The sequence below is a fragment of the Homo sapiens genome, chromosome 16, assembly GCF_000001405.40.
Source record: "Homo sapiens chromosome 16, GRCh38.p14 Primary Assembly".
NCBI lineage: Eukaryota > Metazoa > Chordata > Mammalia > Primates > Hominidae > Homo > Homo sapiens.
In genome coordinates, this window is record NC_000016.10 from 333,639 (window position 1) to 350,698 (window position 17,060).

A 17,060-nucleotide genomic window follows, 5' to 3' on the forward strand; every position below is an offset into this window, starting at 1 on the left:
TTTCCAGGGCAGCTCAGAAAAACAGAAGGTGATGGTGCAAATTCCTCTAAATTTATGGGGGGGGTGCCACCCAACCTAAATTCTAAACCCAACTCATCTCTCCTTCAAGTTCTTTTGGCATGAGCGCATAACACCAGTACCACAGCACAACAGTAACACAGCACGAGGTACCACAGCATGCCAATAACACAGCACCCAGTACCACAGCACACCCAGTACCATGGCACCCAATACCACAGCACACCAGTAACACAGCACCAGGTACCATAGCATGCCCATAACACAGCACCCAGTACCATACCATGCCAATAACACAGCACCCAGTACCACAGCACAGCAATAACACAGCATGCAGTACCATGGCATCCAATAACACAGCACGCAGTACCACAGCACCCAGTACCATAGCATGCCCATAACACAGCACCCAGTACCAAGGCACACCACTAACACAGCATCCAGTACCACGGCATGCCAATAACACAGCACCCAGTACCACGGCATGCCAATAACACAGCACCCAGTACCATGGCACACCAATAACAGCACCCAGTACCATGGCATGCCAATAACACAGCACCCAGTACCATGGCACGCTAATTACACAGCACCCAGTACCACAGTACACCAATAACACAGCACCCAGTACCACAGCATGCCAATAACCCAGCACCCAGTACCATGGCACGCTAATTACACAGCACCCAGTACCACAACACACCAATAACACAGCACCCAGTACCACAGCATGCCAATAACCCAGCACCCAGTACCATGGCATGCTAATTACACAGCACCCAATACCACGGCATGCCAATAATGCAGCACCCAGTACCACGGCAAGCTAATTACACAGCACCCAGTACCACAACACACCAATAACACAGCACCCAGTACCACAGCATGCCAATAACACAGCACCCAGTACCATGGCACACTAATTACACAGCACCCAGTACCATGGCACACTGATAACACAGCACCCAGTAGCACAGCACGCCAATAATGCAGCACCCAGTACCATGGCATGCTAATTACACAGCACCCAATACCACAGCACACCAATAACATAGCACCCAGTACCACAGCATGCCAATAACACAGCACCTAGTACCACAACACACTAATATCACAGCACCCAGTGCCACAGCATGCCAATAACACAGCACCCAGCACCATGGCATGCCAAAAGCAAACCATCCAGTACCATGACACGCTAATTACACAGCACCCAGTACCATGGCACACTAATTACACACCACTCACTAGAGAGAAACACTCTGAGGCAGAAATAGAAAATCTTTATTTTTATGAGATATTTAATTTTTTTCTGCTTCTTTTAAAAGGAGTTTCACTTTACCCAAATGAACCAAACGCAACCAACTCATGAGAATCTACAAAACACTCCCATTGGCGTATAGAATGCACAGCAGTAAGTGGACACATAACAAAGCCAAAATAAAAACGGCCTGGACTGCTTTTATTTGTAAACTTTTTTGTTCACCATGGAAATGCTTTATCTTTGTGGTATCTCCAACATAACTCCACACTGCACCACGAAGCTATAAATTCCAAAGCTAATGGAATTTCCAAGCAAAGGTGCAAGCCTGACACTGCATGAGGGGCCCTCACGCCAGTGCCTCTACTTACGTCACCCTCAGATCTCCACACAGGCACACCTCGGCCACTAGTCTGTACCAGGACACACTAATAACACAGCACACAGTACCACAGCATGCCAATAATGCAGCACCCAGTATCATGGCACGCTAATTACACAGCACCCAGTACCACGGCACACTAATTACACAGCACCCAGTACCACAGCACACCAATAACATAGCACTCAGTACCACAGCACGCCAATAACACAGCACCCAGTACCACGGCACACCAATAACATAGCACCCAGTACCACTGCATGCCAATAACACAGCACCCAGTACCATGGCACCCAATAACACAACACCCAGTACCATGGCACCCAATAACAGCACCCAGTACCACTGCGCCCAGTTACACAGCATGCCAGTACCACACACACCAGCTCCAAGGCACCCAGTACCACAGGATGCCTAAAGAGTAACTGTTTCAACCAGAGTGGGAATATGGAAGACTTCAGGACACATGTCTTCCAGAGAAAAAATACTTTATCCAAGAGGTTTTACAGTGAGGAGAAGAATATTCACAAGCACTCTATTGAGCTGAAGAATATGGGAAGATTTAAGTTGGAAAGTAAAATATTTAATCAAATGAAAAAAACGGCCATTATTAACTCAAAAACAAACACACAAAATTGTACAGGAAAGAAAATGGCCAGGCGTGGTGGCTCACGCCTATAATCCTAGCACTTTGGGAGGCCAAGGCAGGGGGATCACTTGAGGTCAGGAGTTCGAGACCAGCCTGGCCAACATGGTAAAACCTGGTCTCTGCTAAAAATACAAAAATTAGCTGGGTGTGGTGATGCACGCCTGTAATCCCAGCTACTCGGGAGGCCGAGGCAGAAGAATTTCTTGAACCCAGGAGGCGGAGGTTGCAGTAAGCCAAGATGGTGCCATTGCACTCCAGCCTGGGATACAAGAGCAAAACTCCGTCTCAAAAAAGAAAATGATTGACCCACTTGGCTCAGAAGTGAAAGCACCATGCCCTGGTGCATGAACACCTCAGGGTAGGGGTGAGACAGGAGAGCAGCAGAGCTCTCAAAGAGCCAGTGGACACAAGATAGCAGTGAGCACGTTACTCAGAAAAGGCACTAAGGACCGAACCGTGTCGCCCAATTAATATGTGTCAGCCCTGACCATCACGTGGCTGTGCTTGAAGTAAGGAAGTGTTATTGTTAGATGAGAACGCAAACGTGGGGCCCTGACCCAAGAGGGCTGGTTCCCTAAAAGAACAGACACCAGCTGGGCGCGGTGCCTCACACCTGTAATCCCAGCACTTTGGGAGGCCAATGCGGGCAGATCACGAGGTCAGTCCAAGACCAGTCTGGCCAATATGGTGGAACCTCATCTCTACTAAAAATACAAAAATTAGCCAGGTGTGGTGGCGCATGTCTGTAATCCCAGCTACTCAGGAAGCTGAGGCAGGAGAATCATTTGAACCCAGGAGGCGGAGGTTGCAGTGAGCTGAGGTTGCACCACTGCACTCCAGTCTGGGCAACAGAGCAAGACTCCGCCTCAAAAAAAAAAAAAAAAAACAAAACATAAATACAAGAACTTAACCAGGTGTGGGCCAGGCACAGTGGCTCACGCCTGTAATCCCAGCACTTTGGAAGGCCGAGGCTGGTGGATCACAACGTCAGGAGATGGAGACCATGATGGCTAACACGGTGAAACCCCGTCTCTACTAAAAACACAAAAAAATTAGCCGGGCATGGTGGCAGGCGCCTGTAATCCCAGATACTGGGGAGGCTGAGGGAGGAGGAGCTCTTGAGCCTGGGAGGGAGAGGTTGCAGTGAGCTGAGATCACACCACTGCACTCCAGCCTGGGTGACAGAGCAAGACCCCGTCTCAAAAAAAAAAAAAAAAAAAAAAAAAAAAGACACATTTACGTGTATCCTTTTTAAAGAAAAAATGTGCTTTTGAATAGCTGCATATTTTAAAGCTTTTATTCTTTTAATAATATACTTTCTAATTATAAACATGCTGTTATAGGAATTTGGAAAATACAGAAAAACAAAGAAAAAAATTAAAAGCCCACATATCCAACTGTATGAATGCCACTGGGCATTCAAGTCATCCTATTTGCTGGAATATTACAAGCAGCACTCCTTAGGGTTATTTTAAATGTTTGTTTAGGAGCAGACACCAATCCCATAGACTACAGGTGAGCTAGTAAAGATCCAGAGTGGGTCAAAACCAAAAAAAAAAAAAAAAAAAAGCACTGGAGCAACCTCAAAGGAGGCAGGAGGGTGAGTGCCATGAGCAGGGCACAGGACCAAGCAGCCCACTGCAGCTCACAGTGAGGACAGCGCCTGCCAGGACACCCGGACGCCCAGCTACCCGGCCACCTGGCCACCTAGCCAGCTGAGCCAAGAGCTGAGCCCATTTGCCAGCAGATGCTTCAACGGATCACAAAGGAAGCCCGTGGGCCGAGGCTGCAATCCACACAAGCCAGCGTTCAACTCCGGACAGGGCCCAGGGTCCTTGCTGGAGGAGAAGGGGCATGGAATCTGGGCCCTATGGGCACTCAGCCGGGCGTGCGGCCTCTGGGGGCCCCCTGGACGCCACAGCAGTATGGCAGAGCTGTGTGTGTTTTCACAGAGCCCTGTGACCAGTCTCCATCTCTCAGGGAGTGGAGAGACCGAACACCTTCTGGAGCTAATGGGTTCTGAGAGAACCCTGAGTGGTTATTCTCACAGATGTGACACGGGGAAAAACTGAGGTGAAGCTGCTTCCCTCCACACGCACAAGTAGGCAGCGGAGGGGCCCAAGAAAGAGCCAACAGGCGGCCCTCTCTCCCTGACAGCCACCATAGCCCAGCCTGGCCCCCACCTCCGATAACTGCAGGGTACGCTGCTACAAATGACGTCTGCGTTTGACAAGGATGAGCAGAACCGGAGCGTGTGCGTCAATTCAAATCTGTGACACTGGCGCAAAATGTGAGAATGGGCTGGGGTGCCAGGCGGCCAGTCACGGCTAGGGCACAGTTCCAAGAAGGGCCACAGGGGCCCGCAGGGACACTTACCCCAAGCCCTCCAGAAACAGCTGCTGCAGGTCAGCACCAGCACCAGGGCCAGGCACACAGTCTCATCGGCACGTCTGCCACTGGCTGTCTGCAAAGTGCTTCCCTTTCACAACCCACCCACACAGCTCAGGACTGAGGTCCGCCCAGGCAAAGGGGCCTCTCGGTTCCAGAATCCTTTGGCCTGACAGGCAACTACAGATACTTTCGTGGACTCTGCTGAAACCTGTCTGAGACTATGGAGCTTTACGTGGCTAAGGAAGAGAAAAAATATGTTTGGAGTCCTTGCCCACTGACAGGTGCATAAAAATACAAGATGGACTGGGCACAGTGGCTCACGCCTATAATTCCAGCACTTTGGGAGGCCAAGGTGGGCGGACCACTTAAGGTCAAGATTTCGAGACCAGCCTGGCCAACATGGCGAAACCTTGTCTCTACTAAAAATACATAAAGTAGCCAGGAGTGGGGGCATGCACCTGTAATCCCAGCTACTCGGGAGGCTGAGACTAGAGAATCACTTGAACCTGAGAGGCAGAGGTTGCAGTGAGCTGAGATCGCGCCATTGCACTCCAGCCTGGGTGACAAGAGCGAAACTCCATCTTGGGGAAAAAAAAAAAAAGTGGGATGCAAGCTGGTGCTGTGGGGACAGAGTCCAGCAGAGCACCAGCAGAGTCCAGCAGAGTCTGGGATTACAGGCATGAGCCACCGTGCCTGGCCAGGAATCATTTTTAAAGTTTTCCTTGGACATCCACAAACAAAAAAAATTTCCCTTTGGGCAGGGTGTGGTGGTTCACACCTGCAACCCCTGCACTTTGGGAGGCCGAGACGGGCAGATCACTTGAGGTCAGGAGTTCAAAACCAGCCAGCCTGGTCTCAAAAAAAAAAAAAAAAAAAAAAAAAGGCCGGGCGTGGTGGCTCACACCTGTAATCCCAGCACTTTGGGAGGCTGAGGTAGGCGGATCACAAGGTCAGGAGATCGAGACCATCCTGGCTAACAAGGTGAAACCCCGTCTCTACTAAAAATACAAAAAAAAAAAAAATTAGCCGGGCGTGGTGACACGCGCCTGTAGTCCCAGCTGCTGAGGAGGCTGAGGCAGGAGAAGTGCTTGAACCCAGGAGGTGGAGCTTGCAGTGAGCCAAGATTGTGCCACTGCACTCCAGCCTTGGCGATAGAGCGAGACTCCATCTCAAAAAAAAAAAAAAAAAAAAAATTAGCCAGGCATGGCGGCAGGTGCCTATAATCCCAGCTACTGGGGAGGTTGGGGCAGGAGAACTGCTTCAACCTGGGAGGCGGAGGCTGCAGTAAGCCGAGATGGTGCCACTGCACTCCAACCTGTGTGACAGAGCAAGACTGTCTAAAAAAAAAAAAAAATTCTCTTCAGATCTGCTCAAACAGGGGAAGCAAATACCCCAAAGGAGACTAGAAACCCCCCACACCCAGGCAAGGGGAGCCCACGCAAGGGGCAGTATGGCTCACAAGCACCTCTGCCCCCTCTGCACCACAGCAGAGGTCCCCTTAACAAGACAAGCCTGGGGGCGACCCCACCCTGGGCCACACCCTTTGCACAGGAAGCAGAGTTCACCCTTGCAACACAGCCCCTCTGCAGCCGGGCACCTTCAACAGCACCACCGCCTGAGGTCCAACGGACATGGAAACCCAAAACCACTCCTCCACAGACAACTCTGTACACATTTTGGGCCCTTTCTTTTTCTTCTTCTTCTTCTTCTTTTTTTTTTTAACCATTTCTTCTCTTAACCTTTTAGGCCATTACCAGAAACACAGTCAATAAACTAATGAGCAGGTCCGACGGTTCCTCACGCACCCCTGCGGGAACCTGAACGGCAAGGGCTGGCTGCCCACCTCGAAAGGACCCACCGGTCCTCTGAGCAGCTCCAGGAACCAGCAGCCCAAGACAAGCCACCATGTTGCTCCTGCTGTGGACATGTCTGTTGTCCACTCTCTGGCCACAGCCACATTGACCAGCCCTATCCACAAGTGCATCACTGGACTGGCCCGGGAAGACACACGAAAATATCCAGGAAGACCCTGTCCCCAGTCATCAAGGAAGGTCAGGGCAGTCAACAGAAGGGGCCAGCGGCGAGGAGACTGCGGGCTTGACCAAGCGGACCTGGCAGGGGCATGCAAGGCCAGCCCTGAAGGCCACCTGGTGGGCCAAGCCACCCTGAAGGGAAGCAGAGCCTGAGCCCGCCAGCCAGGGAGTGCAGGCCCTGGGCCTCCCGCCCAACACTCAGTCAACAGCAGAACCTGCCTGCTGATCCACACCGCTGAAATGACGAGGTGAACCAGCCAGCTCTGTTCAAAGTTCCACTGACAATGGGAACAAAGACCCGAGGGTGCAGAAAGTGTTCCCACAGAGGCAGAGCGGGGGAGCCAGGGAGGAACCCCATGAAACCTTGGCCCAGGAGCTCAAAATGACAGTGGGTGAGTGGGACAAACACAGAAAAGGGCCAGGAATGGAGCTCTTTCCTAGGCTGAGACAAAGACCTAAGCAGAACACTTCACTTTCCTCAAATCAAGTATGTGAAACCACCACGCGGCTCACACACGGACCAACAAGGACCCGCACTCAGGCGTCCCACAGGGGAACTGGATGCCTGTGGCCGTGCTGGACCGCAGCAGCCCCACCGCAGGGGATGAGCGACTGTGGCAGAGATGCAGGCAAAGTAGCCTCCAGGACAGAGGGGTCAGCACCCGAGGGCTGGCCCTCCTGGCACGTTCCTCCACGCAAATTCCACCCCGGTGAGAGGTGACAGCGTGCTGGCAGTCCTCACAGCCCTCGCTCGCTCTCAGCGCCTCCTCTGCCTGGGCTCTCACTTTGGTGGCACTTGAGGAGCCCTTCAGCCCACCACTGCACTGTGGGAGCCCCTTTCTGGGCTGGCCAAGGCCGGAGCCGGCTCCCTCAGCTTGCGGGGAGGTGTGGAGGGAGAGGCGCGAGCGGGAACCGCGGCTGCATGCGCTTGCAGGCCAGCTGGAGTCCCGGGTGGGCGTGGGCTTGGTGGGCCCGGCACTCAGAGCAGCCGGCCAGCCCTGCCGGCCGCGGGCAATGAGGGGCTTAGCACCCGGGCCAGCGGCTGCGGAGGGTGTGCTGGGTCCCCCGGCAGTGCCGGCCCACCGGAGCTGCGCTCAATTTCTCGCTGGGTCTTAACTGCCTTCCTGCAGGGCAGGGCTCGGGAGCTGCAGCCCGCCATGCCTAAGCCCCCCACCCCCTCCGTGGGCTCCTGTGCGGACCGAGTCTCCCCGACGAGCGCCCGGTCCCATTGACCACCCAAGGGCTGAGGAGTGCGGGCGCACGGCACGGGACTGGCAGGCAGCTCCACCTGCAACCCCGGTGCGGGATCCACTGGGTGAAGCCAGCTGGGCTCCTGATTCTGGTGGGGACGTGGAGAACCTTTATGTCTAGCTCAGGGACTGTAAATACACCAATCGGCACTCTGTATCTAGCACAAGGTTTGTAAACACACCAATCAGCACTCTGTGTCTAGCTCAGGGTTTGTGAATGCACCAATCGACACTCTGTATCTAGCTACTCTGGTGGGGACTTGGAGAACCTTTGTGTGGACACTCTGTATCTAGCTAATCTGGTGAGGATGTGGAGAAGCTTTGTGTCTAGCTCAGGGATTGTAAACGCACCAATCAGCGCCCTGTCAAAACAGACCACTGGACTCTACCAATCAGCAGGATGTGGGTGGGGCCAGATAAGAGAATAAAAGCTGGCTGCGGGAGCCAGCAGTGGTAACTCGCTCGGGTCCCCTTCCATAGTGTGGAAGCTTTGTTCTTTCTCTCTTTCCAGTAAGTCTTGCTGCTGCTCACTCTTTGGGTCCACACTGCCTTTATGAGCTGTAACACTCACCGCGAAGATCTGCAGCTTCACTCCTGAAGCCAGTGAGACCACGAACCCACCAGAAGGAAGAAACTCCGAACACCTCCGAACGTCAGAAGGAACAAACTCCGGACAGGCCGCCTTTAGGAACTGTAACACTCACGGCAAGGGTCCGCGGCTTCATTCTTGAAGTCAGTGAGACCAAGAACCCACCAATTCCGGACACACCGGGACGACTAACCGGCTCTCCACAGGATATGCATCCCCTAACACGTGAGGCCTAAGCTCCAGGCCCTGCTGTGGTAGCAATGCTCACCAGCCGCCTGTTCAGTACCCACTCTCCTTTTCCCTTTGCATTACCCGCAGCCTTCCTTTGGAGGACTGCCCCCAGCTCCCCACTGGGGAGCAGCCGTCTGTCTGGGTGGAGAACCCACTTTCCTTCAGGAGTGACCCTGCTGCACAGCCCCCAGCGCACGCACCGTGACTGTGCTGAGACAGACGGGACACAGCGGCACACGTGCCCTCCTCAGAGCAACAGCGGGCCCATCCGTCAGAGCTGCGGGAAGCATCTGTAAACAAGGGAGCCCAGAGCCCAAGGTCACTGCAGCAGCCACCTCCAACACAAAGCCCACGAAGTCGCCCACCAGGCAGGCAAAGTCAGAATGGCACAAAGCAAAGGTGCCAGGCCCTAAGGCACACCTGAGGCTCTGCCTCAACAGTGCCCTTCAGGGTTGGGCTCAGGTGGGTGGGTTTCCACGACTTCCAACCTAGTGCACCCTCACCTACACCTGGCAGGACAAAGAGAATGGTCTAAATGTGAGGAACGCAGCCTGGACTTCATGCCCTGTCTGTGCTGACAAGCAACCATTCCAACATCAGAGATCTTCAAGCCACAAGGCTGCACCACAGGCCACCTCCCACAGAGAGGATTCAACCGCAGACACGACTCCCAAGCCCCAGGGTCCTCTGCCACCAGCAGCCCCAGAGCAGTCAAGTTAGGACCCAAACTGTGTAGACAGAGCTACACAAAATTAGACAGGAGAAGCCAATGTATCCCACTAATTTCATAGCAAAGGTTCCTTATTACAAATACAGCAAACCAAGGACAGACAGCAAAGCTACTGCTCGCAGCCAAGAACTGAAGAGTGGCTGGGAGGGAGGCACTGGGGTTCCAACAGTGGAAATCAGAACGGAGCTCATTTTCCTCCTGCAGCCCAGCCCTCAACTTCAGTCCCATCTTAAAAATAACCAGCCGGGGCCGGGCGCAGTGGCTCACACCTGGAATCCCAGCACTTTGGGAGGCTGAGGCGGGCAGATCTCTTGAGGAAAGGAGTTCGAGACCAGACTGGCCAACGTGGTAAAACCCCATCTCTACTAAAAATACAGAAAATTAGCTGGGCATGGTAGCTCACACTTGTAATCCCAGCTACTCGGGAGGCTGAGGCAGGAGACTCACTTGAACCCAGGAGGCAGAGGTTGCAGTGAGCTGAGATTGCACTACTGCACTCCAGCCTGGGCGACAGAGCGAGACTCCATCTCAAACAAAAAAACAAGCAAAAAAAATAACCAGCCAGGTGCAGTGGCTCCCACCCGTAATCCCAGCACTTTGGGAGGCTGAGATCACTGGAGTCCAGGAGCTCGAGACCATCCTGGCCAACGTGGCGAAACGCTGTCTCTACCACAAATACAAAAATTAGCCAGGCATGGTAGCACACACCTGTAATCCCAGCTACTCGGGAGGCAGGAGAATCACTTAAACCCAGGAGGCAGAAGTTGCAGTGAGCCGAGATAGCGAGATAGTGCTACTGCACTCCAGCCTGTGTGACAGAGCGAGACTCCATTTCAAAAAAAAAAAAAAGAAAGAAAGAAAGAAACTCTCAGTTTATACCAGGCTTACTCAACAGGATAACTTTGCGGCATATTGTGTCCTAAAATGCTTGCTAAATAAATACCACTTGGCTAAAGACAATGAACAAAAGGGAAAAAAGGCCGGGCGTGGTGGCCCACGTCTGTAATCCCCGCACTTTGGGAGACTGAGGCAGGCGATCACGAGGTCAGGAGATCGAGACCATCCTGGCTAACATGGTGAAACCCAGTCTCTACTAAAAATACAAAAAATTGGCCGGCATGGTGGCGGGCGCCTGTAGTCCCAGCTACTTGGGAGGCTGGGGCAGGAGAACGGCGTGAACCTGGGAGGCGGAGCTTGCAGTGAGCCGAGATGGCGCCACCGCACTCCAGCCTGGGCGATAGAGCAAGACTCCATCTCAAAAAAAAAAAAAAAATTAACCAATTAACCTACACAATCCTTTTTTGTTTTTTTTTTGTTTTTTTTCTGAGACAGAGTTTCACTCTTGTCCTCTTGTCGCCCAGGCTGGAGTGCAATGGCACAACCAAGGCTCACTGCAACCTCTGCCTCCCAGGTTCAAGCGATTCTCCTGCTTCAGCCTCCCGAGGAGCTGGGATTACAGGCATGCGCCAACTCGCCTATCTAATTTTTGTATTTTTAGTAGAAATGAGGATTCACCACGTTGGCCAGGATGGTCTCGAACTCCCGACCTCAGGTGATTCGCCCGCCTCGGCCTCCCAAAGTGCTGGGATTACAGGTGTGAGTCACTGCGCCCAGTCGACAGTCCATCTTAAATCGTATCACTTAGACTACAAGTTTAACCTTAGACATGTTTAATCCTGTGTTGATGAGCGAGTAGCCAATTTCTGTGTCACAGTAAGCTTGAAGAACTAATGCGAGTTTTTAATAACTCCTCAGGAGAGTCCCAGCACATGGGGCTGTGCTTTCGGAGTCTTGATTAGGTCAGCAGGGGTCACATGAATTCCAGGCTTTCAAAGTTACACAGGCCGGAGCCTCCGGTCACCAGCTCTAGGGAAAGAGTGGGAAATGCATGCGCTCTGCTCACAAGCACAGTAGATGCCAGCCCGAAAGCCAAATAAACCTCCAGGAACCACGCAGGGATCACAGGGAAGGAAGAACGAAGAAACAGGTTCCAAGGCTGAGCACCACTCTGCTCCCTCCCAGGCAACACACGCACCCCACAGGCCCTGCCAGGATCGCCTCAGGGTCCAGGCTGCTGTGGACTACACAACAGCACCAACAGATTTTGTTGGCAGGAAAAAAGGCCCAATCCTGGAATGCCCACTATAGCCACAGGAAGTTTTCAAAGTACTCTGACCATTCCCCACACGTAAAACGTCCCCCCTGCTATTTCTCAGCCTGTAGGAAGAAGCTTAGAAGATCATTATAAAAGCAATAATCTGGCCGGATGCGGCGGCTCACGCCTGTAATCCCAACACTTTGGGAGGCCGAGGCAGGCAGATCACCTGAGGTCGGGAGTTCGAGACCAGCCTGGCCAACATGGAGAAACCCCACCTCTACTAATAATGCAAAATTAGCCGGGCGTGGTGGCACATGCCTGTAATCCCAGCTACTCAGGAGGCTGAGGCAGGAGAATCGCTCAAACCCGGGAGGCGAAGGTTGCAGTGAGCTGAGATTGTACCATTGCACTCCAGCCTGAGCAACAAAAGTGAAACTCCGTCTCAAAAAAAAAAAAAAGCAAGAATCCAATTCTCCAATTCTTATCGATGCCCTGAAACGTCCACTCCTCCCTTTATTAAGCGGAAAGGACCATGTCTACTGGGTAGATCCAGCTCCTATTTAAGAGGTGACAGACTTTACTGCTGAAGGGTAAAGTTTACATGTCATTGTGACTTCTAAGAATTCCGATGTTCCTAATGACTCATAAAGTCATATATTTTAGTCTGTTCTCAGTAAAAGTGTTCTCAACATTACAAATATAAAAAAGTAATGACAAATGCAAAAGTATCACAAATAAGAACAGAACCAAAATTCAACCCCAGCGGCAGCAGGACATCCGGTGTGGGTTAACGCCCGCCTCATCAGCACCTTTCCCTGGCTTGTTCTCCAGCTCTCGGAGGTGAGTACAGAAAGTGGACGCCTGGCGTCGGACTCACCTGAACTCTCTGCCTTCGCTGTACCGTCTACTGGAGGAGACCCTCGGGGCAGCTGTCTCCAGGAGCAGCTTCTGAGGGAGTCTTCCGGGGGGAGCAGCGTCTCTGCCATCGTCCTCATCCATGTCCTGGTCACACTTCCATTCCTCATCTTCATTTAAGGTCGGCAGGTATCCAGATATGCCCTTCCCTGTCCCTGACCCAGAGCTCTGGTCACTACAGACTTTGGGGCTCTCCGAGCCTGTCCTCGTATATTCCAAATAAATATCAGACTTAAGGAAGGAGGGATAGGTGTTTTCCTCCATAGTGGCCTGGATTTCGGTCTGGGCCTGGTCAAACATGGCAGGATCGATCAGCTGCTTCATGATGCAGCCCTTTATGAAGCTCTTGGTGGCTGGCTTGGTCTGCCGGGACACGATGCCATTGTTATCAAGAATGTACTTTCGGTAGATGGCTCTCGCCAGCTTCAGCCTCTTCTCCTCGTTCGAGTCACAGGGCTCCAGCTTCCTGAAGCCAGTGCAGGCAAACCAGAAGTCCAGCAAGTCGGCACAGCCCTCCTGCTTCAGGAAAGTCCTGAACAGGCTTATCCCATCTTGGTCATCCAGCAGGGAATGCAGTGACTCAGCCCACTTCAAGTATGGTGGGGTGGGGGAGGCACTGCCCTCAGGCTCATACCCCAGGTCCAGATCCGAGCGCCTCGGAGTGGCCGTCGAAGTCTCACCTTTAATGCCAACACCTTTCCCGGAGCAGAAACTGTAGCTGGCGGGCCTCGGGTCTGTGGACACCAGTTCTCCCTCCTCACCAGGCACTGGGGGTCGGGGAGCATCTTCGGTGAAACTTGCTCCGAGGTCCAAGGGGAAACCCTGCTCTTGGATATTCATTTTGGGACTCTGCGTCAAGGAACAATGAGCGCTGCACCCTAATACATCAGTACTTACAGCTCCAAAGTGAATCAATCTGTCCTGTTGAAACCATTAAGAGGACAAGGATTAGGAAAGGTGGGTCCATGAAACACGACCAGAGGTTTTCTCAAGACAAGACTCACGATGACGCCCTCCCGCTCAAACTCAAAGCAAGAAACTCAGTTTAAATGTTCAATCAAGATATATTTTGGCCACAAGCATAGTTCTACTTTAAAGCAATTTCTGGAAACTTTTACAACTACAGGAATGCCTCTCATGCTAAGAAGGGATGCCCAGGACATGGGAATGCCACTCCCCACAAGTCTCACTGCACAAACATCACGGAGGCTGGCAGCTTGAGCACCTCCCACCTCAGCTGCAGAGCTGAGGGACAGGGAAGGCAGGAAGACCGGAGGAAGGAAAGCTGCCTCTAGTCCTGACTATGTGTACAAACCTGAGTGAGGGCTGGACCCTCACAAGTAAGATGGAGACAATCGCTCCACCAGCCCCAGCAACACTCAGAGAGAAAGGAAGGTGCGCTACAGCCCCGAAGGTGGTGGGCGTCTTCTGAACCCCACGTCCTCCAGGCCCACGGCCACTGTTTTCTACCTGCTGCATCACGTCACGCGTGGTACACCTTCCGACACATGAGAACACACTGCAGGGTGTTCCTCCGACTCTCAACACACGCCTCAAAGAGAGATAATCATGGGTCACCTTCAGCCCCATCGACCGAGGGATCAAGGACACCACCCAGGCCCACAGAGGCGCTCGGACACCGTCACTGGAGACAATCTTAAAATGCTCTGTCAGAATGCTGCACTTGACTCTGAAAAGCCTCTCTGATGAGGATTCAGATAGCAAATAGTAAATGGGTACTTCAAGGAACAGAGAAGGTACAGAATAAAAGGAAATGCAAATACAATTTTTAGCTAAGGAAGCTATAGTTCATGTGACTTCACTCCTTAAGCTGAAAACCAAACCACCCACCCTCTTAGACATCAGGGAACTATAGAATTTGCTGCTACTACTGCTGCTGCTGCTACAAGCCTGCAAGGGGTGTGCAAAAGAGAGTAGATAAGGGCTCCAACAGAACCCCTGCCATGGTCTATGGTCCTTCCTGCCACGTCCTACAGGAGCCCAGGAGCTCTGGCTATGCCTGTCAACCCGGCCATGCAGGTGACTGAAACAACAGCCTGCCATGATGTAAGTGGTCCTGGCTAAAAGGGGCTGGAGAGAGGGCTTTAGAGAAGCATGTTGGGTTCAAAAGCCTAGAGTGCTGAACAAGTCACAGCAAACAAATAAAACCCTAAAACCCAGGACCAACTGAAGGGGGATCTATCCCCCAGCCACCACTCCACACTGCTGTCCCTTGTCTATGTGGAATCTGTCCCCCACACCAACTTCCTCACATTGCACACACTTTACCAGCCAACAGCTGCTCACGGCTGGAAGCACGAAGGATCCACAGAGCCAGGCGTGGTGTCACGCACCTGTAGTCCCAGCTACTCAGGAGGCTGAGGCTGGAGGATCCCTTGAGCCCAAGAGTTCAAGACTAACCTGGGCAACATAGTGAGACCCAATCTCTACCAAAAAACAGTTCTTAATTAGCCGGGTATGGTAGCGTATGCCTGTAGTCTCAGCTACTTGGAAGACTGAGGCAAGAGGATCACTTGACCCAGGAGTTCAAGGCTGCAGTGAGCTATAATCGCACCCCACTGCACTCCAGCCTGGGCAACAGAGCAAGATCCTGTCTCTAAAAAAAAAATAGGCCGGGCACAGTGGCTCACACCTGTAATCCCAGCACTTTGGGAAGCCAAGGCGGGCGGATCACGAGGTCAAGAGATCGAGACCATCCTGGCTAACACGGTGAAACCCCATCTCTACTAAAAATACAAAAAATTAGCCAGGCATGGTGGTGGGCACCTGCAGTCCCAGCTACTCGGGAGACTGACGTGGGAGAATGGCATGAACCCGGGAGGCAGAGCTTGCAGTGAGCCGACACCGCGCCGGCCACTGCACTCCAGCTTGGGCGACAGAGTGAGACTCTGTCTCAAAAAAATAAAATAAAATAAAATAAAATAAAATTAGTAAATAAATAAGAAGCACCCATAGATGGAGGATGGTTTGCAACTATGTGCCCCCAATGACATTTCAGCAGCTAAGGACTTTTTGTGAACGCTGCTGGGTAGTATGTCATCTTGGCCTCAGCAGGAACACACAGCTTCTAAAGGTCAAGGCCCAGTGAGCTGTGACATCCTGCTGCTCACAGACCACTTCAGCGGCAGTCACTCCGTGAGCCACATCAGCATGGAGGGAGCACCCTGGGCGTGGGCACCTCCACACTAGCTCACGGTCATCTGTCTGGGACGCCATCACAGGAAAGAAGGCCTGCACCCTGACCACCTGAGCCTTACCACTATAGATGTACTACCATTCACTAGCTTGAAGAACCAAGTCACCGGAGAGTGGAAAGTGATTAATCAGACAGTGCTCAGAAGGGAGGCTAACCACAAGTCACCATCATGCTCTCATAAGGGACTTAAGTCTTCTGTGTTAATTATTGGTAGTAGCGGGACCCACAGCACCCAGCACAAGGTCCTGCAACTAACGGGCACCAGTAAGTCATTCACTGATGTAAAAAAGAAAAGACATTTGTCACAGACGCCAAACACTGGCTCTCTACAGGGGCTGAACTACTGTACCACAGAAAACAGCAGCAAATTCTTCCAAAACTAATGGGTTTTGTTGTTTTGTTTTTTGTTATTTTGAGACAGGGTCTCGCTCTGTCGCCTAGGCTGGACTGCAGTGGGGCGATCTCAGCTCACTGCAGCCTCAGCTTCCCAGGCTCAAGCAATTCTCCAGCCTCAGCCTCTCAAGTGGCGGGGACTACAGGCACGAGTCATCAACGCCCGGCTAATTACTGTATTTTGGGTTTCACCACGTTGGCCAGGCTGGTCTCAAACTCCTGAGCTCAAAGCAATCCACCCGCCTCGGCCTCCCAAAGTGTTGGGATTACAGGCCACTTTGCCTGGCCCCAAAACTAATGTTTTAATTCATGTGTGAACCAAATTTTCAGAGCCCAGAAGAAAATTTTCTTACAATCATGTGTATTTTTGGCTGTCAACTGACAGAAGACTTTTTGGTGTCCCTGGAAGCACATGAACCCCTCTACAAGCTACTGATGTTGTTGAAACATGTCCCAATTCCTGAAATCTCTGGGTTCCCACAGGGAAGCACACCAAGCATTTAGTGTACACACAAGTACACACCACACATAAAGCAGTCACGTTTACTCAGTTCAGTATCAAATGCCTGCAAGCACTGAATCTGGCCCACAGCCTGTAGCTACCATCAATAAAGTGAGTCCATAAAACGGGCGGGATGCCTACAAGTATGATACTGTATTTAAAATTCCCTTTCGTCACCGCTTAGGCATATGCTCCAGGCATCATGGCAGCAAACTCAATGCTACCTACGTGTGTAGGTATTTATTTTACCCAAACGTAACTTTTGACATTTTGATTTACATGGAGGAGGCAAGTAACACAACACGACTCTGACATCTTCCCAGCTGTCCATTGATTTAACTCTTGAAGGTTCAGGGCTACTATTTCACATGTAATTTATTCCCCCATCACTGAAATTCTCA

General features: G+C 52.0%; 1 protein-coding gene across 8 annotated transcripts in view, besides 4 other annotated features; it reads right to left on the bottom strand.

Annotated features, from left to right (window-relative positions):
• The window catches only part of AXIN1 (axin 1), a 65,284-nt gene that overhangs the window by 46,199 nt on the left and 2,025 nt on the right, over window positions 1–17,060 (bottom strand). For all 8 annotated transcript variants that reach the window (NR_134879.2, XR_001751996.2, NM_181050.3 and 5 more), the window contains exon 2: window positions 12,510–13,468. Coding sequence is in view for 6 of the 8 variants with exons in the window: in XM_011522683.3 (XP_011520985.1) it covers window positions 12,510–13,468 (959 nt within the window). In the remaining 2 variants the exon portion in view is untranslated. The remainder of the gene's footprint in view (window positions 1–12,509; window positions 13,469–17,060) is intronic.
• Window positions 2,591–2,885: an enhancer, noted in NCBI's record as "tiled region #4309; K562 Activating DNase matched - State 5:Enh". NCBI's record gives its function as "activates a minimal TATA promoter and a strong SV40 promoter by Sharpr-MPRA in K562 cells {active_cell/tissue: K562}" and the evidence as "EXISTENCE:reporter gene assay evidence [ECO:0000049][PMID:27701403]".
• Window positions 5,820–6,544: an enhancer, noted in NCBI's record as "H3K4me1 hESC enhancer chr16:389458-390182 (GRCh37/hg19 assembly coordinates)". NCBI's record gives its function as "activates a minimal SCP1, AML or CMV promoter by ChIP-STARR-seq in primed H9 embryonic stem cells {active_cell/tissue: H9 hESC(primed)}" and the evidence as "EXISTENCE:reporter gene assay evidence [ECO:0000049][PMID:30033119]".
• Window positions 7,827–8,378: an enhancer, noted in NCBI's record as "H3K4me1 hESC enhancer chr16:391465-392016 (GRCh37/hg19 assembly coordinates)". NCBI's record gives its function as "activates a minimal SCP1, AML or CMV promoter by ChIP-STARR-seq in naive H9 embryonic stem cells {active_cell/tissue: H9 hESC(naive)}" and the evidence as "EXISTENCE:reporter gene assay evidence [ECO:0000049][PMID:30033119]".
• Window positions 15,591–15,870: an enhancer, noted in NCBI's record as "active region_10203". NCBI's record gives its function as "activates an Ori minimal core promoter by ATAC-STARR-seq in GM12878 lymphoblastoid cells {active_cell/tissue: GM12878}" and the evidence as "EXISTENCE:reporter gene assay evidence [ECO:0000049][PMID:35858748]".